General features: G+C 43.0%; 1 protein-coding gene across 31 annotated transcripts in view; it reads left to right on the forward strand.

Moving 5' to 3' along the window:
• WASHC2A (WASH complex subunit 2A) overlaps positions 1-21500 on the forward strand; it is a 65556-nt gene that overhangs the window by 21457 nt on the left and 22599 nt on the right. For 12 of the 31 annotated variants that reach the window (NM_001005751.3, NM_001291398.2, XM_017016227.2 and 9 more), the window contains 12 exons: positions 1366-1476; positions 2021-2108; positions 2752-2823; positions 3858-3976; positions 4450-4507; positions 5738-5797; positions 6189-6368; positions 8265-8392; positions 10568-10654; positions 14632-14733; positions 16924-17055; positions 20691-20860. In NM_001005751.3, coding sequence (NP_001005751.1) covers positions 1366-1476; positions 2021-2108; positions 2752-2823; positions 3858-3976; positions 4450-4507; positions 5738-5797; positions 6189-6368; positions 8265-8392; positions 10568-10654; positions 14632-14733; positions 16924-17055; positions 20691-20860 — 1307 coding nt within the window. Of the gene's footprint in view, positions 1-1365; positions 1477-2020; positions 2109-2751; positions 2824-3857; positions 3977-4449; positions 4508-5737; positions 5798-6188; positions 6369-8264; positions 8393-10567; positions 10655-14631; positions 14734-16923; positions 17056-20690; positions 20861-21500 lie in introns of those variants that run through there. The other 19 variants (NM_001437392.1, NM_001437390.1, XM_047425207.1 and 16 more) reach the window with 6 other exon arrangements.

The following is a 21500-nucleotide window of genomic DNA, read 5'->3' on the forward strand; positions in this document are numbered from 1 at the left end:
TCATTGATTCAAACATTGAAAAAAAATTTTTTTAATTATACATAGTAGTGTGTACCTTTGGAAAAATTAGAACTTAACAGATAAGGCTAAGTTTGAGCCTTCCAGTCCTTTCCTTCTCTGCATACTCTTCAGAGGTAACTGGGATCATGTTCTGGGAGCATGTCATTCCAAGTCTGTTTCTTTGCTTTTATAAACACATCTGTTTCCATAGAAATGCTGTAGTGTTTGCAGAGGGGGCGGGGCGTGGTATCATCCTGGATTTGTTATTCTGCGCTTTTTTGCTTGACCTACCTTGGATGGCTCTCTAGTCGTTACAGCTTTTACCTTTTAACTATTACTCAGTATTCTTACTAAGGTAAGACTATGCTGATGATGTTTATATTTCTCTAGTAAAAGGCTGGGCATGGTGGCTCACGCCTGTAATCCCAGTGCTTTGAGAATGTAATCCCAGCGCTTTGGGAAGCTGAGGTGGTTGGATCACCTGAGGTCAGGAGTTCGAGACCAGCCTGGCCAACATGGTGAAACCCCGTCTCTACCAAAAATATAAAAATTAGCCGGGCGTGGTGGCGGGTGCCTGTAATCCTAGCTACTCAGAGGGCTGAGGCAGGAGAATGGCTTGAACCTAGGAGGCGGAGGTTGCAGTGAGCCGAGATCACCCCATTGCACTTCAGCCTGGGCAAAAAGAGCGAAACTCCTTCTCAAAAATAAATAAATAAATAAAAATATTTCTCTAGTAAGCCATTTTTGATATTTTAATATTCTGCTTTTTATATTCTTGTTGTTACATTCTTATAAAGGATACATTTTTAGGCCGGGCTTGGTGGCTCACGCCTGTAATCCTAGCAGTTTGGGAGGCTGAGGCGGGTGGATCACCTGAAGTCAGGAGTTCAAGACCAGCCTAGACAATATGGTGAAACTCCATCTCTACTAAAAATACAAAAAATTTGCTGGGCGTGGTGGTGCATGCGTGTAATCCCAGCTACTCGGAAGGCCGAGGCAGGAGAATAGCATGAACTGGGCAGGCAGAGGTTGCAGTGAGCCGAGATCGTGCTGATGCACTCCAGCCTGGGCCACAGAGCTAGACTCCATCTCAAAAAAAAAAAAAATATATATATATATATTTATATTTATATATATATATTTATATTTTATATATATTTTTATATATATATTTTTCTTAGATTCAAAGTAAATCTTGTGTATTATTTCTTCCAGCACATCTTTTGCTTCATAACTTGCTGCATCATGTTTATGATTATTATTTTAAAAAGCTGTTACTTCTTTGAAGGAGGAGCCTAAAGGCTGACAGTATCTCTTCTTTAGCTTAATAACTAGTAGTTCTAATTTGGTATTTTATACTCTTAGCACACCACACAAATGAGTGATGAGGAAGAGGATGATGATGGCTGTGACCTTTTCGCTGACTCTGAGAAGGAGGAGGAAGATATTGAGGACATTGAAGAAAATACTAGACCTGTAAGGAAGGCTGTAGTTGCTATCACTTGGCAGAGTTTTAGAACCAATGACTTGTTTTTCTTTTTATTGTGACTTACTTTGTACATCACTCATTTTGGCATATTTGTCATTTCATTTACACTTTGGAAAATAATGGCAAGCATCTCAAATTGCCTCACAAGTACCACTTTCTTGTCCAGATGTTATGATTTTATGAGTCAGATCATTCAGAATATGTCTAGTTCCAGAGTTTGAAGACCATAGTGCTCCTGTCTCTCCATCCATTCACCTTTTTCTTATTTTCGTATTTAGATTTTTAAGTATTAAAGTCAAGTATTAAAAAGAATAAGGAAATAAAGGGCATCTCCCTTTGAAGGAACATTTTATGAGTCCTATTCCTTGGGTGAGCTGTATAGGGTACATATGTTTAAATTCATTTAATTAAACTCTGTTTTCTCCTCAGTTCAATTTCTTTGCTCTTGTATACATAATGTTGTTAGGTGTCCAAAGTGAAGTGTACTAGTTTGTTACAAAAAAGCGATTCTTTTGATTTCTCCTGCTGTAGAAAAGAAGCAGACCTACATCGTTTGCAGATGAGCTGGCTGCCCGCATCAAGGGGGATGCCGTGGGTCGAGTGGACGAGGAGCCGACAAGTGAGCCCCAGCCGCGTTGATGGGGAGTAGGGGGGGAGTAGTGCAGGGCCCTCTGCTGGCTTCACCAAAGGCGGATTTCTCTTTTTATTAGTAATTACTACATATATTTATTAGTAATTGCTACATATAATTTAAATTGTAGCGCTTATTCCTTTTTTGGTTAATGAGCTCCTTTAGATAACTGAACACTGTGGACCCACAAGAAAAACGTACATGTACACATGTAGATAACCCTTTACATATAATTTCAGGGGATTAATAGAAACTCCAGAGAACCATGGGCAACAGCTTAAGAATTCCTGGCTGAATATTTACTCCTATATTTTGAACACGTAAGAATGTGCTATATAGCATATTCTAGTTATAACAGGGTAGAAAGATAACACAATAATTCTTTCAACAAATACAATCCTGTTATGCACATGAGCCTGGTACGAAAGCAGAAGGCTTCTGCCTTACAAAGAGACTCTTGAGTGCCCACTGTGGGCAGGGCCAGGGGGTTCAGTGCTCTGGTGCAGCTGAGATGAAAGGCAGATGTCTTGCTCTTAGCTGTGAGTTATGAGGATGACAGACGTGGAAAGAACCAGGATGTGTATACTGAGGGAGGACTTAGTACTATTAAAACTGTGAACTGTTCTTCAAGCCTTACCCTCAGGAGAAGCAAAACCTCGGAAGACACTCAAAGAGAAGAAGGAAAGGAGAACTCCTTCAGACGGTGGGCCTTTTCCCTCAATTCTGTTATTTTAGGAGCCTGTTGACTAAGGAATGTTGCTTACATAATTCATGAAGTACTGCTTTACATGCTGTTTTCCCTCTGACAAATGGGTCTGTCTCCATTTACTTTTCTAAAGCCTCTGGGCTGGGCGCGGTGGCTCACACCTGTAATCCCAGCGCTTTGGGAGGCCGAGGCGGGCGGATCATGAGGTCAGGAGTTTAAGACCAGCCTGGCCAACATAGTGAAACCCCATTTCTACTAAAAATACAAAAAATTAGCTTGGCATGGTGGTGGGTGCCTGTTGTCCCAGCTACTTGGGAGGCTGAGGCAGGAGAATCACTTGAACCCGGGAGGCAGAGATTGCAGTGAGCCTTGATCGCGCCACTGCATTCCAGCCCAGGTGATGGTGTGAGACTCCATCCCAAAAACAAACAGAAGCCTTGGAAGGCATGTTTTGGGGTGCTGGGAGGATATGTGGGTGTGGAGTAAAAATTCCTGTAGAGATTTGATTTATTAGATTTTACAGCAATCATTTCTTGTCTTCCTAGAATTCTTAGAAGTATAGAAACTTAGGAATCTCTAGCATTTGTTTTCAATAAAGGATACACCAGGCCTTTTTCTGCAAACAGCCATGTCCATTACATTAGACTTGTCCCTGTGTCAGTTTGCAGATCCCTTTGTTTATTCTGCCCTTCCTTCCCCCAGATTGGTTGGGGAATGGGTCTTGAATGTGGCGTCTGACCCGAATGCTTGCTTCAGAGTAAAGCTAGATCCAGGGTGCTGGCCTAGAGAATGAATACTGTGTGCCACAGACGTGGACAGACTTGAGAGTGGAGGCCCAGAGAGTCTTTTGAGGGTGTCAGTGGACTGTGCCAGGGGTTTAGTGTGAAATTCATCAGACTGCCTCACACTTTGTTAAATAGTGTCAGATAAACTCCATGCCAGTTTGGAGACACAGCAGATGCCAACCCGGGAATTTGAGTTCTGGACCCATCTTTAATACTCCCTGCAAAACATTGCTTTCTGTTTGCTAGATGAAGAGGATAACTTATTCGCACCCCCCAAGCTGACCGACGAGGACTTCTCGCCATTTGGCTCTGGAGGTGGCCTGTTCAGTGGGGGCAAGGGGCTCTTTGATGATGAGGACGAGGAGGTGAGTCCATGGCACCCAGCAACACTCCCTGCAGCTAGCTGTGTCAGGGGTCCACAGGGAAGATATAGGCTTTGCTTGTTTAGTGGGGGAAAAACAGTTTCTCAGTTGGAAGTTGCTTCTATTTTCATATTTTGGGACATTTTGAACTAAGAATCACAGAGTGAGAAATGCCGTATCCTTCTATGCTTTGTTAGGTGAGGAGAAGATGTGCACGTGTTAATGTGAATAATTTACTAGGTGATTGTTTCTTGCCTTATCTGTTGTCTTCCACGTTTGTTTTTAATTCCTGGACAGGCCTAAATTATTTTAGGGTCTGATTTTGCCATAGTTATCACTTTGCAACTGATTTTCTGGCAGAGTAGTAAATATGTAGCTTTAAATCTTGTAGGTTATTTTTCCTTAGGAATCCTCACATGCAGCTATGCTTTCTCCTGGTTTTTTGAATTCTTTGTCATATACCTTATTTCAACCAGAGTGACCTCTTCACGGAAGCCCCCCAGGATCGGCAAGCTGGAGCCTCTGTTAAGGAGGGTAAGCTGGGGCTGGGCAGCTGCGTCTCCGTGTGCAGAGTTCCAAAACTGTCTTTCTCACTAGGAGATGGAACAAGGTTGTTCCCAAGCCTTGTTTCTGTGTTAAGCAGGAAGCTGTTGTTTTTACTGTGGTCCAGTTGAAAGTAATTCATCTTCACTAATTCATGTCTTGGAAAAAACAGTACCATCTGTAAACCCATACCACAGTCTTGCCTCTTTGTTAGGAGAGAACTCATAGAAAGTCAAACAAGAAAAGTACCCTAGAGCAATGTTGAGGATGGTTTTCATTGAATGAAGTTTAATTTAAAGAAACATTTTTAACATTCTGTATATAAGTTGGAGACCAGTAATTCCCCAACCCAGTGTGCATTAAAATCATCTGTGCAGGTTTTTTTGTTTTTTTGTTTTTTGTTTTTGTATTTTTAGTAGAGACAGGGTTTCACCATGTTGGACGGTTGGACAGGCTGGTCTTAAACTCCTATCCTCAAGTGATCACCCGCCTAGACCTGGCAAAATGCTAGGAATACAGGCATGAGCCACTGCACCTGTCCCCTTGGTGCAGTTTTTAAAAAACACAAATATAAATATGTTTTTTAACCTACAAATGTTACTCCATAGGTTTGTGGTAGTTCTTGGGACTTGGGAATTAGTGATTCTAAGTGCCGAGTCTCCCGGGCACAGGCATCAGAGCTGGGCCTTGGAGGCCGCTCCTTGTGCCTGCTGTGCGGGCTGCTAGCCTGGCTCTCCTCTGCTTTCTGCTGTCCATGTTTTGGCATCAGTGACTTGCTTGGTTTCCCCCTTTGCTCTTATGTCTTTATTTTTTTACTGATGACTCACATGTTTTTGCGGTTCTTTTTCACCCGTTCATTCTCATCCAACTGGAATGGGTAGAGGTGGAACTGTTTGGGGGAGCCCTGGTCATGCTGTCCCTGCCTCTGCTGTGCTCACCTCCTCCCTTGGTGTCCCCCAGCTGACCCACTGCTGTGGCTTGATGACGGTCAGCATGCTCTTCCATTGGAGTCACAGCTCAGATTGTGTTAATCCCCAAAAAAAAGTCCTGACATCGGTAGAGAAGAAAATACTAAAGAATTTTAAAATGACTTGTTCAGGAAAAAGTGGTTTCAAAAGGTCTGATACTAGCTGTGTTTTACATCGCACGTATTTCAGGAAGAAAATAGCAAGGAAAGTTATTTCCCTTGTAAAATGGTTACCCCTTGCTTTCTCATTCTAGAGTCTTCATCATCCAAACCTGGAAAGAAAATCCCAGCAGGAGCTGTTTCTGTATTTTTAGGTAACATAACTTAGGTTTGTTTTCTAAAAACTACACAAATACTGTTTTTTGCATTTCAAAATTATCATCTTCTAAAGTCTGGCTGGAGATGAGGAAGTACCTGGGAGCTTCAAAGGGCTTTGAGCATCTTATAGAAAGAGCTCATTTACTGATATTAGCTCTTATTCTCCTAGAGCTCAGTGGCCTTGGACTTTTTTGTGTTTGAGCTGACCTGGTGATTCTCCGTTGTGAGATGTTCTGTAGCAGTAATGGATGGAGGCTATTGGGCCCTGTTATGCATTTTGTGGATTAACTGAAATGGAAAGTTTTTGGTGGGTGATAATTTTTTTCTGTAAATTCAACCGGCCCACACTGGCTCACAGCTGTGGCTGTCTTGTCTTTCCACCCACAGGAGACACGGATGTGTTTGGTGCTGCCTCCGTTCCATCAATGAAGGAGCCACAGAAGCCTGAGCAGCCCACTCCAAGGAAAAGCCCCTATGGTCCCCCTCCCACTGGCCTCTTTGATGATGATGATGGTGATGATGATGACGACTTTTTCTCGGCACCCCACAGCAAACCTTCTAAAACAGGTATGTGTTCCTGCCTCCGTTTCTAGGACTTCAGCCAGAAAAAGAACGTTGCCTAAAAAGAACATAAGCTCACCTAGTTCTGTATCTCTTACAGTGCCAGAATCCCTTCTCCAGCATTCCTGTCATTGAGTTGTTGTGTCTGTACTTACATAGGTGTGGTGCCTGGGAGGTCTGTTTTATGATCCAATCTTTTCTGCTCTGTAAGCTAATTACTATGATTATTTTCCTTATAGAGAGCTGAAATCCTTTTCTGTATAATTTTTGCTTGCAATTTCCAGTTCTGACCTTTGGTATTGTAAAGTTTTAATCATCCTTTCTTCCAGCCGACCTTAGTCAATTACATGAGCAGCAGGTTGTGTGCCGGCCATTTATTTCCCAGCTTCTCATTTCTCTGCCAAAAAGCTCAGGTGGCCTTGGTCTTTCCTCAGATGATGTTTTCATCCCCTTGGCCACTTCGGCATTCTCCTCTCTTTTCCTCTTAAATGTAAGTCCTATGTCCTGAAGTCATTCCCATAAATCATTTGTTTTTAAATGTGCAGATGAATCTTCCAGGGGCTTTTGTCAAAATGAAGATTCCGATTCAGTAGGTCCAGGGTGGGGCCTGAGAATTTACATTTCCAGCAAGCTTCATGGTCTGTAGATCACACTTCGAATAGCAAGACTTAGATCCATTGACTGCTCTTCCAGAAAAGAAAGGTAGATCCCTAGATCCCTAAGGTGCACATGATTTTCAGCAACTTTAAAAAATAAAAAAGGATGGCATAGGAATGGATGGAACTAGAATGCATTTAGAAGCCGGCTGTTTGGACTCACTCTCTTCCAGTGTTAGGTGTAGAAAGTAAGGATGGAAGCCGAAGTGTGAGGGAAAACGATAGCCTAGTTAATCTAGAAAGAGTGCAAACGGATGCAGAATGCACACAGGTCTCAGTGAAGATGACAATGCACACAGGTCTCGGTGAAGATGACAGTGAATGAAGGTAGTAGTGCTTTTTGTAGCTCCACAGGGCTCTTACTTAGTGGATATCTTTGAGAACTGATTTAGAATCCCTAGTAAATTGATGCTGCTTTCTTTGACAACTCCTAGTCTCTTCAGACATTCATGAGTCAGTGACCTCATTTCAGCAACACATGCCCTATTCGGTACAGCAGTGCTTATGGTGATGAAAGGTTGGAAACCACCCAAATACTTATCAGTAGAGTAAGCTATGGCCCTTCTATTCAGTGGACTATTCTGTGACAGTTAAAAAGAAAGGGGTCTACGCTTGTTGACTTGGGAAGATTTTGTAGGTACATTAAGTGGAAAACACAAATGGTAAGACATTGTTCAAATTATCTTCTTATTTATAGCCTTATTTATAAATAACTAGTGTTAATTCATTAGTACATCCTTTGGGGGAATTAGAAGCATGTATGCTGAACTGTTCCCAATGTTCATCTTGTTTGAGTAGACTGGTGGAATTATGAGGGGATTTCATTATTTGCTTTTATCTGCTTTTGTACAGTTTGATTTTTTTTAAAACAGGAGCCAAGCCTTCATTTCTCAGATTCCTTAGATGATTGACTTGGTGGCCCTCTTAAATGATCTTTCTTCCTCTAGATCTCTCTTCACCTTGTAAGCCAGTCCAAGCTACTCTAAGTACAGGAAATGGCTGCTTGGATAAGCATGTCAGCCACGTGGATAAACTGTCTGTTCTGTCTTTCAACTGAACTGCTACTATGCACTTTGAAAAATTCCAAGGGAAGAGTATAGTTCCACTTACTATTTCTTTATAACTAATCAAGAAACAACATAACTTTTTATGTTTATTCTTTGGGAGGGAAGAATTTTTTAATCTGTGAATTTTGTGATAGGATGTTTGACGTTAGTGTCATTTTATGCCTTGGTATTTTTTACAGGCAAAGTCCAATCCACTGCCGATATCTTTGGTGACGAAGAAGGAGATCTGTTCAAAGAAAAAGCCGTAGCATCGCCAGAAGCCACTGTGAGTCAGACAGATGAAAATAAAGCAAGAGCAGAAAAAAAGGTGAGCAGGAGGGAAGACTTAACGCAGGAGCATTGATCTGCCGCATTTTAATAATTCATCCTGAACCCAGAGGGAAGTGCTGTTCCCTTTCACGTTCATATTGAAGAACTTCAAACAGAAAGTGGAAAGAACATTGCAGTGAACACCCAAATAACTGCCACCCAGATTGATCAGTTCTTAGGGTTTTGGCAAACACTTTATGGATGTAAACCTTGTTACATATCTATTTTTTTCCTGAACTATTTGCATGTAAGTTGTTTGAACTGTTTGCTGCATGGAACTGTTTCCATGTAGTCATTGTGACATTCTACCCCTAAATATTTCATTAAGCCTCTCTTGAAAAGACTTCCATATAAGCGCAATGCCATTATCAACAGCTGTGAGACTAACAGTAATTCTATAGTAGAATCTAATATCTAGTCTGTATTAGAATTGCTCCAGTTGCCCCAGAATGTCTTTGTAAAATCACCCCAACAAATAGAATACAGATTTAAAATTATCTCGCATATAGTTCATACTGCAATTTCCTCTCTTGTCCCCAAAATGCCATTTACAGCAGTGATCCCCAACCTTTTTGGCATTAGGGACATAAGGAGAGTGCAACCTGCAATCTAGATCCCTCACATGCACAGTTCACAATAGCGTTTGCCTTCCTGTGAGAATCTGATGCTGCCACTGATCTGACAGGAGGAGGAGCTTAGGCAGTAATGCTTGCTGCTCACCTCACCTCCTGCTGTGTGGCCCGGCTTCTAACAGGCCATGGACTGGTCTGCAGCCCAGGGTTGGGGACCCCTGCTTTATAGTATTTTTTTATGTTTTGATTTTTTTTTTGTTCTAAGAAACTCAGGATTTGGACAGTGTGTCTGCATTGCATTTGGTTGTCATGTCTCTTTGGTCTCCTTAATCTAGAGCAACACCTCCCACATCTTTTTTTTTTTAATATCCAGCCACTTGTATTGTAGAATGTGTCTCGTGAATTTGCTTGATTATTTTCCTATGAATAGATTCAGGGTGAGAAGTTTTGGCAAGAATACAAGCAGGCAGGGTTGTGCACTTCCAGTTGGATCACCTCCCAAGACACATCAGGTCCACTGTCTGCCTCATTCAGACACGTTTGTCACTTGGTTGTTAGGGTGCCCACCACACTGCTTCATTGGAAAGGTACCCTGTCCTCTTTTGCCATTGCTAAGTTGATCTCTAAAGCGATAGTTGAACACAGTGTGAATACCTGTTCTCTCCCAGCCTTTTACTCAGTGTTTTGAAAATCCACTGATGATCTTTTCTTGACTCAGTTAATCTGTTAGCGGGCACAAACCACTATTTTTTTAATTCTATATTTCTTATTAGTTGGCATTCTTCTGAATGAAGTTCTTTCTCTCCCTCTCCTTCCCCGATTTTTAGTATTGCTTTGGGATCATGTATTCATTCTTCAGTGTAGATGATAATCCATTACCATCATTCTTCTTCTTTTTTTTTTTTTTTTATGAGACAGGGTCTTGCTCTGTTGCCCAGACTGGAGTGTAGTGGTACAATCACAGCTCACTGCAGCCTCAACCTCCTGGGTTCAAGCGATTCTCCAGCCTCAGCCTACCAAGTAGCTGGGACTATATGCGTGCGCCACCATGCCCGGCTAATTTTTTGTGGAGACGGGTTTTGCCCATGTTGGCCAAACCATCATTCTTTTTGATGCTCAGATTGACCTGCATTTGGCCAGTGTGTGTGTCCCCAGCAGTCTTTAAGCCCTTCTGACTGCTTGACCTTTCACTGCTGTCCTGTACAGCTGGTCCCTCCTCTTTCTACAGTTTTGTCTCTTTGTGTCGTGTCCTGGCTGTGAAGCCCTGACTTTCTCCTGCCGACCACCTAAGGCCCAGCATTCAGAACCTGTCAGGCCCGTCAGGCAGCCTGTCTTTCCATGCTGTCTCTCATTGCATATGTCCCATCTGTGCACCCATTGACCCAGACTGTGTGTCCTGCTCCCTGATACACCAGATGTGTCCTCTGTTTGTCTTGCTGTTCTCTTAACAGCCCCCTCAGCTTGCTGCCTATCACAGCAGAGACTCCGTGCGTTTTCTCGATTGATTGAGTAAACCCTCTTTTCTGGGTATCTTACGTGTTAATGCTTAATTTTTCTTTTTCTTTTTTTCTTCCCCACCCCCCCCCCCACCCCCGACAAAGGTTACCTTATCTTCCAGCAAAAATCTCAAGCCCTCATCAGAAACAAAGACTCAAAAAGGCTTATTTTCAGATGAGGAGGACTCTGAGGTATGGAATTCTTTTGCTTAGTTGTGGGTATTAGTCTATGGATATGACATAGAAACTATTTTTGAATCAGGTTTTTCTCAATAGAGTTATAAGACTTTTTGTTAAGTACTCCAGTTCTTTAAAAATTATCTCTAGAGGCCAGGAGTAGTGGTTCATGCCTGTAATCCCAGCACTTTGGTAGGCCAAGGCAGGCGGATACCTGAGGTCAGGAGTTGGAGACCAGGCTGGCCAACATGATGAAACCCAGTCTCTATTAAAAAGACAAAAATTAGCTGGGTATGGTGGTGCGAGCCTGTAATCCCAGTTACTCAGAAGGCTGAGATAGGAGATTCACTTGAACCCGGGAGGCAGAAGTTGCAATGAACCGAGATCACACCATTGCACTCCAGTCTGGGCGACAGAGCGAGACTTCATCTCAAAATAAATAAATGAATAAAAAATAATCTCTTGAGAGCACAGGGGCTTTAGAAAGCAATATGTTTACAATACTTTTCACTTTGGGTTGGACTGTATTTACATTTCCTGGGATGAAAATCCTCTCTCTTTAGGATGCTCAGATTTTAAACTGTTCATGGGCTCATGATGTGATGAGGAGCTTGCACCAGAGTGGAGGTCACCATGCTACTTCCTTTATTCACATTCTCACTAACTAGACCATGCCTTAACGCTGTAGCAGATGGGTTCTGGCATAGCCATCTGTCTTGTCGAGACTGAGACCACTAACAGCCTCTGGGACCCTGGTTCATAGGTTGCTTTGGTCCCTCCAGGCACCTTAGAACCACCTCTCAGAATTTCACTGCTTTTCCTGAGTCTCTCAGGCCTAGGTCGTCTTAGATCCAATTTTAAGTTGGCCTTTTAGGAGATCATAGAACTGTATGAGATTGTAATGGGAAGTAATAAGCCCCTTTTACAGAAAAATATGTGGACATGGCAGAAACTTACATGTATTTCAAGAAACTGTGGGCTCTAGATTAGGCTGTCATGGTTGGGCTTTGCACTCACAGCAAGGATGAACATGGAACCCTTTGGAAGTAGAGTGATTGCCCTTGATGTAAAGAATACCTTTGAGGCTATCACTGAAGGCGAGTGTACAAAACGTAGGAATTAACCAAAGTCCAGTTAAGTCACAACCCTGACCCCTGAGAAACAGCATGATGGGGCCTCCACCGTCTTATGCTCATGGATCCCATGTGTCACCCACACCTGCACCTCAGGGTCTTTGCACCGGCCCCTGCCACTCTGAGGAATGCTGTTCCCAGAATCCAGCTTGCTTCCTCACTCTTCGATTTCTCTGTGAGGCCTCCCTGATGAAATACACACAGCAGGAAGCCTGCTAGCACATACCACGCTGTGCTCCTGTTCCTCTTTCCTATTTCACTGTTTACCACAGCACGTGTTGCCAGGGACAGTGTATATTTACTTATTCATTGTCTCTACTTCCCACTAAAGTACGTGCCATGAGGGCAGGACTTTGTATTCCCTATTTGTATCCCTAACACCCCGTCCTTAATACCAGTGCTTGGCATGTTGTAAGCCATCCAGTAATTGTTGATTAGACAAGAAAACCAAATGTGAACAATTTCAGTGACTTACGAGATGTTCTGGTTATTTGTTGCTATGAAACAAGTAACTCAAAAACCTAGTGGTTCATAACACCCATAGTTTTGTTGTCTCACAGTTCGAGAGGTTGACTGGGCTTAGCTAGGCCATTGTCACTGAGGGTCTCTTGTGTCTGAAGGTGGCTGGGCTGAGGATCACCTTATTCATATGTCTGGTACCTGGGCACTGGGGCCCCTGGGACATCTCTCACTAGCCCTGTGTGGCTCCCAGCATGTAGTCAGGGAAGCCGGTCCTCTTACATGCTGGCTCAGGGCTGTAGGGGAGAGTCCTCAGAGAGAGCCCGATGGAGGCCATGTTGCCTTCTTTGTTCCAGCCTTGGAAGTCAACGGTGTTCCTTTTGCTTCATTTGTTGGCCAAGATGGTCACAATGGCCCATCCAGGTTTATGGGGAGAGGCCATAGGCTCCCCTTCTTGATGGTGGGAGTGTAAATGTACTCTCAGACTTGTGTGAAAACCCTACCAAAGGCTTTGCCCCATGTGTGTCATCATAGAGCGAATGTTTTTATTGGATATTGTTCAGATTCTAAGGCAAGGAGAGGTAAAACTAAGGCAGTCTAAGTAAGAGTTAAAGCTTTGGACCCGAAGGAATGCGTCCTGACTCCTTTCTCTATATCTCAAGTGTGAGGCTGAAGCTTGCCCTGTGGTCATTTTGGGGGAACATATTTGAGGTAATGGAAGTGTCTTTTCTTGCAGTACCAAGAAAGGTATCAGTTAAGGGTCCGAAACTGTGATGTTGACATTTGTTTTTGTTCTTTGCTTTGGTTTACTTTCATTTTCTTAGAACAGCAGAACCCTTTCTCTTGCCATTGTGTAACATGCAGGAGGGACACGGGATGCCTGGAATTCCCCTTGTGGCCTCTTCTATCTAAATAAACCCATGGGACTCCGGGGAGCACAGGGGAAAAACACTGTGTGGAGGAGATCTCACTTAGTGAACTCATTAGGTCTATATTTAGGAGTAGACAGCGACCCCATAATTAAAAAAAAAAAAAACTGTCCAAAGAGGTCTTAGAAATATCTTCTTGTCCTATTTAATTGTTCGGCTCTTGTGTATTGAAGTTTATCTTCCCAAGGGAATAGATGTCCCATTTTATGTTTCTACTTCATGTAGGTCAACTTGCAGGTCTTTCTTTGCAGGATAAGCTGATGTTTTATAACATTTTGAAAATTTCTTGATTTTTATATTTTTTAGCTATTTTGAGATGAAATTATACTCTTTTTGCCTAGGCTGGAGTGCAATGGTGGGATCTTGGCTCACTGCAACCTCTGCCTTCCGGGTTCAAGCAATTCTCCTGCCACAGCCTCCTGAGTAGCTGAGATAACAGGCACCCACCACCACACCTGGCTAATCTGGTATTTTTACAAAATTAATATAGGCTGGTCTTGAACTCCTGACCTCAGGTGATCTGCCTGCCCCAGCCTCCCAAAATGCTGGGATTATAGACATGAGCCACAGCACCGAGCTGAAAGTTTCTTTAGAATCTATCAGGTCTTATCCTGGTTTGCAATGTCATATACCTATAGTTAAGCTAAGTAGACTAGCAAACATTTAAAAATAAAGTTTAATTTGTATTTACTTAAAAGAAATATGTCGGCCGGGTGTGGTGGCTCAAGCCTGTAATCCCAGCACTTGTGGAAGCCGAGGCGGGCGGATCACAAGGTCAGGAGATCGAGACCATCCTGGCTAACATGGTGAAACCCCGTCTCTACTAAAAATACAAAAAAATTAGCCAGGCGTGGTGGCAGGCGCCTGTAGTCTCAGCTACTCAGGAGGCAGAGGCAGGAGAATGGCGTGAATCCGGGAGGCGGAGCTTTCAGTGAGCCGAGATTGCACCACTGCACTGCAGCCTGGGCAACAGAGCGAGACTCCGCCTCAAAAAAAAGAAAAAGAAGTAAGTCATAATCTTAGGGGAGGAGGGTGTTACTAAATAAAATAGTTGTAGCTCCATTAATTTGGGAATCTAGCCCCTGTTTCTTTATTGACCCTGTCTAATCTTTGATTCTTTAGACGGTAATGGGAAGCCATGCTTATATATTTATTTTTTTAGCATGGTGTAGGAAATTGATTCAAAAACTTATTCCTGCCTTCTGTCATTCAGGTGGGAATACAGAAGCCCCTGGGCTCTGCGAGGCCACCAGATCCTGTAGCTCTCCTCCTCCTTAGTGCCACTGCACACACCCTGCACAGACCCTGAGGCCTATCCCTTTAAGGACTCTGTCTGAGCCACCTTCCCTCTCAGGAAAGAAGCCTAGACACATGGCAGCTGTCATGTCTGAGTCACTTGTGTTTTATACTGACCTGATATTTTAAAAACTGATATTCCTGTTAACCAGCAACTTTAATTTCAATCCAACAGGATTTGTTTTCTTCTCAAAGTGCGAGTAAGTTAAAAGGTGCGTCTCTGCTGCCTGGCAAGCTCCCCACGTTGGTTTCCCTGTTTGATGATGAAGATGAAGAGGTAAACATTGTTATTGTAACACTAGATAATTTAGATTAGGAGAAAACGGTTGTTGATGCAACTTTCTACCCAGAGGCTCATATACTAGCAAAAGGTGGTAGGGAAGCAGTCAGGCCACCTGAAGTTTATATAACAAAAATATTTCTGTTTTTATTTCAGTGACTTCTTCCTTATATTTTCCTAGCTGTGCAATGGAGAAGACATTAGATTCTTGATGCAGTTCTTTTTTTTTTTTTTTTCCGAGTTGGAGACTTTCTCTGTCACCCAGGCTGGAGTGCAGTGATGCGATCTTGGCTCACTGCAACCGGGTTCAGGTGATTCTCCTGCCTCGACCTCCCAAGTAGCTGGGACTACAGGCGTGCACCACCACTCCCGGCTAATTTTTGTATTGTTAATAGAGACAGGGTTTCACCATGTTGGCCAGGCTAGTTTCGAACTCCTGATCTCAGGTGATCCGCCTGCCTCGGCCTCCCTAAGTGCTAGGATTACAGGTGTGAGCCACCATGCCTGGCTTCTTGACACAGTTCTTATGGAGTGAAATCTACAGGTTTTATTTTTAGAAATCTGCCTTTGAGAAATACAATTGACCCTTTAACAGTGTGGAGGTTATTTTGACTTCCACATTGCAGTGAAAAATCCATATATAACTTCTTACTTCCCAAAAACTTATCTACTGATAGCTTACTGTTAACCAGAAGCCTCATGGATAACATAAACAGGTGATTAACATATAAATAGTATAATATCTATTTATATATTTTTGTATTCCTGACATATCCAGCTTTTCCTTATTTTTTTTATGATATTTCTAGGCCACATGGTTTGTCTGCAAGATTTTTCAAATTGTTGCAAATGTCCAAAAAAATTTTCAACATATTACTGAGAAAACATTTGTGTAGAAGTGGACCTGTGCAGCTCAAACCTGTGTCATTCAGGGTCAGCTGTACTTTAGTCTAGAGGATGGATCAACATATACCCAATGACCTACAAGAATGTTTTGGATCAAGTGGAGATACAAAGGAGAAGGCAGCCATGTCCTGACCATTGTCTTTCTTTCCCATCCTGGCTGGAGAGAGCACAGTGGGGAAGAGAAATAAGAGAGAAGACAACCCAAACCTTAACTCTCATGCAGTACTGGGCGGTGGTGAGCTCAAAGGCTTTGCCATCAGACCCCTGGGTTCATATCCCAGCTCCACCACTTGCAAACCAGGGACCTGGGGCAAGTAACTTAACCTTCCTTAAGCTTATGTGGCTTAACAGTGAGTAGGGTCACTGTGGCAGCTGTAACTACTAGTGTGAAGCTCTTGCAGAGTGCTGGCACATAATAAGTGCATAGTGAATGTGAGCTCTGTCATTAGCATCCCCAATGGACACCAGCTCATTATTCTCCTGGCCTGTCCTACATTACCGCACTCTCCTTAAAGGAGACTTCATCCAGGAAGACACTCCCTTCATCCATCTTCACATTCCAGGGCTGTTCACCTGAGTTTGTCCATCCTAACTCAGATTCAGGCCCTCTGATGCTTTTGTTCCCCTTATCTGAATAAAAGCACCTTAATAAATATAACTTTTGGGGAGTGCTTGACCACAGAAGAATTTACAAATGCCATTAAACTTAGTACACCAGCAATTTTATTTAGTAAGCTATTTCTCCACTTTGTATAATCTCTTTGAAACTAATGAGAAACACAAGTCATGCCTTCCCTCCATCCCAGGTGTATGTCTTTCTGACCTGTAAAGGAGTGGAGACAGACCCCCAGTTCTCTCCTTTCAGCCATTGTTCTGGTTTCTCATTCGTGGAGACAACAGTGTGAGTTTCTGGCTGCTGCGGGGGCTCCCGTGCCCATTGCAGGCTGTAACCCCCTGAAATGAGCAGAGAGGCACTTGCCCACAGGGTGACTGGATGGGGCTCAGTTTCTCCTTGTACTTCATGATCTCATTTGCATGTTGTTCTCCTGCTTATATGCAGCTGTTCTGCCTTCGAGTTCTATGGTAATCTCTTTCCCTTCTATGGGTGCAGTGAGAAAAGGCTGTAGTTTGGGATTTACTAGCATTTTGCGGTTTTTCCCCGCCAGAGTTGTTATTTGTATACCTGACTGGAGACTTACTTCCTTAAAGTTTGATATAGGAGGACATCCTATGTTTTCTGATTATAAAGTTGTCTTACCTTTCTGCCATTTGCTTTTCTAGGATAATCTTTTTGGGGGTACAGCTGCTAAGAAGCAGACATTGTGTCTACAAGCTCAGAGAGAAGAGAAAGCAAAAGCCTCCGAGCTCTCCAAAAAGAAAGCATCTGCCCTGTTGTTCAGCAGTGATGAGGAGGTGAGCTGAGGTTTCTGCTAAAGAAGAGGGGATTATTTCATGGGATTTAAGAGTTAAAGCCATCCCAAGTCTTTTTCTACCTGTTTTATATCTCGTGATGTTCAGTCACCAAAGGCGATGTTCACAAGATTGTCTTTTCTGACGGAAGACATTTAATGTAATATATTAATTTAAAGATGAATCTCTTCAAAATGGTTAGGAATAGGTATGACTCCCACACAATAGTGTATGCTCCTTCAAATGAGTTAGGCCGGCTAGGGGGGAAATGATTTCTCAGCCATCGCTAGTTCATGGTCGAGTCCCTTAGAACAAATGACAGATTAACCAGAGAAAAGTGTGCAAGTTTACGTAAGATAAGTTTTACCAGACACAGGAGCCTTCAGAAAGAAAAACTCAAGAGAAACAGGAAATCCTGTGTCAATTTTATGCAGTCTGATGAAGAAGCGGACAGTTTTGGGGAGCACGATTAGATGAAAGGGGTGTGACCTGATGGGAATAAGCTGGGGGGAGCTCAGCAAGGCCTGTGTGGTCAGATCATTCTCTGCATCTTTACAAATAAGGAGGCTCCTTTCCTCTGGGAATAGGGAGGACTGGAATGAAGGTTTTATGACCTACTCCAGAGAGGGTTAGAGGATTCTTCTATGTCCTGCTTCAGAGGAGAAGGGCCAGGGAAAGGTCAGAGAGACCTTTCTGCTTCTGTTTTCTCAAATGCCAAGGTGTCATATTTTGAGGTAGCATGTCCCGTATACCCCAATGGCCATATATACTAGTATCTTGTTAAATGACTACTGTGTTTCATTAATTTAGAACTATAGTTAGGAGGAGTTACCTATTGAGGTTAAACTCCTTTTTGAGGGAGTCTTAACAATATTTCTGTTTGTGATCTGGATAGATACTACCAAATCAGTTAGTTTAGTTGCTAACTCAATCAGATTTAGTAGCAGGGAATCAGATTTAGCTGTGCAGAAAAAGACTTTAAATATGATGATATAAAAAATCCTGAGTAGTAAACATCTTCCTGTGTTATAATAATTCCTCTTTTTTTTTAACATTGTAGGCAAGTTAATAGGGGGTGAAGTGGATATATAAGTCATAGATATGTTCATGTTCTTACTGAAAGCAATTTAAAAATTCCGAAGCAGATTGCAAAAAAAAATGTATTAAAAGCTTATGCGGCCGGGCGTGGTGGCTCACGTCTGTAATCCCAGCACTTTGAGAGTCTGAGGCAGGCAGATCACTTGAGGTTGGGAGTTCGAGACCAGCCTAACCAACATGGAGAAACCTTGTCTCTATTAAAAATACAAAAAAATTAGCAGGTTGTGGTGGCGCATGCCTGTAATCCCAACTACTCAGGAGGCTGAGGCAGGAGAATCACTTGAACCCAGGAGATGGAGGTTGTCGTGAACCGAGATCACGCCATTGCACTCCAGCCTGGGCAACGAGCGAAACTCCGTCTCAAAAAAAAGCTTATGCAACACACATGTGAACAAGACACAATGAAAAACTGCTAGTAATCCTTTTACTACAAAAGTCTGAGTCTGGCCTTTAGAAAGCGTTTAAGGAATTCCCACCCAGCTGTGCTCATGCCTTCACATCAAGGAACTCCCAAGCATATATAATTTGTGTTTTCTACTCAAATGTATGAATTTATGATAGATTATCCAGTTTTTTTCTTTTAAACATTGTCGGTGATTGTTCCCCCTGTAGCAACAGCCAGACATCAGTGTAGTTGCTCCTACTAGAGTATTATAGTGGTTCAGGGAAAATAAAAACATTACCTAAAGCTTGGAGCAAAAAGACATGCAGAAGAAAGACAGCCAAGGTTCTAGAACAGGGGCGTCCAGTCTTTTGGCTTCCCTGGCCCACACTGGAAGAAGAAGAATTGTCTTGGGTCACACATAAAGTGCGCTAATACTAACAATAGCTGACGAACTAAAAAAATAAAAAGGTTCGTGCATAAATCCCATAATGTTTTAAGAAAGTTTACAGATTTGTGGTGGGCCGCATTCAAAGCCATACTGGGCTGTGTGTGGCCCATGGGCCACAGGTTGGACAAGCTTGTCCTAGAACAAAGGCTGTCAACTTCGGCTGCTCATTGGGATCCATGGGGAACTTAAAAGAGTGCTGACAGGCCGGGCACAGTGGCTCACGCCTGTAATCCCAGCACTCTGGGAGGCCAAGGAGGTGGGCAGATCACCTGAGATTAGGAGTTTGAGACCAGCCTGGCCAACATGGCGAAACTCTGTCTCTACTAAAAAATACAAAAATTATCTGGGTGTTGTGGTGCTTGCCTGTAATCCCAGCTACTCAGGAGGCTGAGGCAAGAGAATCACTTGAACCCGGGAGGCAGAGGTTGCAGTGAGCCGAGACTGCGCCACTGCACTCCAGCCCGGGCCACAGAGCAAGACTCTGTCTCGAAAAAGGAAAAAAAAAAAAAAAAAAAAAAAGAAGACCTGACGAGTGCTGACAGTGGATCCCAGCTCCAGAGATTCTGAATTAATCTGGTTGGGGTACAGCCTCGTCATTGGAGTTTTGTGATACTCTCTAGTGGATTTCAGCGTTTAGTCACTGCTAAACATTGAGGAGCACTTCTCAAACCTTCATGTTTAGGAAATCACCCAGGCACCCTGTGAAATGCAGGTTCTGATTCAGAAAATAGGCGCGGGGCCTGAAATTCTGCATAATCTGCTGCTGGCTTGTGGACTCCAGTTTGATTTGCAAGACTCTAGACTCCAGAGATAGAGCACTTATGCAAGTGCTTGGGAGTTCTTTGATTTGAAGGGGTGTGAGCATAGTCGAGTAGAATTTCCTTAAATGCTTTCTAAAGGCCACATTCAGACTTGTGGTAAAAGGATTACTAGCAGTTTTTCATTGTGTCTTGTTCACATGTGTGCTGCATGAGTTTTTACACTTTTTTTTCAATCTGCTTTAGGATTTTTAGAATTAAAATATTCTTCTCTGGAGTTGGAAGTTCTTGAGTTCTTGGTATTTTTACATTTGGCTTCCTTCTTATAGCCTCTGTAATTAATGTTGATTCCCTGAAATAGACAAGTCGCTTGTCGTAATACAGTGCAGAACCACAGTGGGAAGAGACATCGTGGCAGGTGTTGGAGGAGGAAATCATGAGAAGCTCTGTGAGGTCAGAGAGCCCAGCTGTCTAGATTTGAGTTCAAAGAAAAGTCTTAAGCATGAGCTTTCTTCAAGACTGATGCACTAAGTTTAATACTTAGTTTAAATACAACTTAGTTTAACAAATATAAGTTTGATTTTACTCCCCATGTTTTATAATCTAAATTGCCATTGGACTTTTTTTTCTTTTTTTGAGACAGAGTCTCGCTCTGTCCCCCAGGCTGGAGTGCAGTGGCACGATCTCCGTTCACTGCAAGCTCTGCCTCCTGGGTTCACTCCATTCTCCTGCCTCAGCCTCCCGAGTAGCTGGGACTACAGGCTCCCGCCACCACGCCCGGCTAATTTTCTTGTATTTTTAGTAGAGACGGGGTTTCACCATGTTAGCAAGGATGGTCTTGATCTGCTGATCTCGTGATTCACCCGCCTCGGCCTCCCAAAGTGCTGGGATTATAGGTATGAGCCACTGCGCCTGGCCTGGAGTTTTAATATATATTTTATGTTTTAAGGACCAGTGGAATATTCCTGCTTCACAGACCCACTTAGCATCTGACAGCAGGTCTAAAGGAGAACCCAGGGATTCTGGGACCCTCCAGAGCCAGGAGGCCAAGGCTGTGAAAAAGACCAGTCTCTTTGAGGAAGACGAAGAAGATGATCTTTTTGCCATTGCCAAGGACAGGTGAGATAGTCATTGGAAGGAGTCCCTCACTCCGTTACCGTGGTAACAAGAAAAGGAATCTGATGCACAATCTAGTTCATCGGGTGATTGCTAATCATGGATCACATAGTGATTGTGCCAGTGAGAATGTCTTTGCTTTTCAATGGCACCATCTTTTCCCTCAGTACCCGGAAATGTTTGTCTTTGTGGATCCTTATCTGATTTCTTCCCCAATCATTATTTTTTAACCATATTCTTTTTCTTTGTTTGTCAGGGATTTGAGTATCTTTTGTTTGTGATTTTTCTCTGGGCTACTCTAAAGTATGTCAGGTTTGGTCAGGATTACTTAAAAGTTACTTTAGGCCAGGCACGTTGGCTCATGCCTGTAATCCCAGCACTTTGGGAGGCCGAGGTGGGCGGATCACGATGTCAGGAGTTCAAGACCAGCCTGGCCAATATGGTGAAACCCTGTCTCTACTAAAAAAATATAAAAATTAGCCGGGTGTGGTGGCACGCGCCTGTAGTCCCAGCTACTTGGGAGGCTGAGGCAGAAGAATGGCTTGAACTTGGGAGGTGGAGGTTGCAGTGAGCTGAGATGGCACCACTGCACTCCAGCCTGGGCAACGGAGCAAGACTCCATCTCAAAAAAAAAAAAAAAAAA

The sequence above is a fragment of the Homo sapiens genome, chromosome 10, assembly GCF_000001405.40.
Source record: "Homo sapiens chromosome 10, GRCh38.p14 Primary Assembly".
In the NCBI taxonomy this organism is placed as follows: domain Eukaryota; kingdom Metazoa; phylum Chordata; class Mammalia; order Primates; family Hominidae; genus Homo; species Homo sapiens.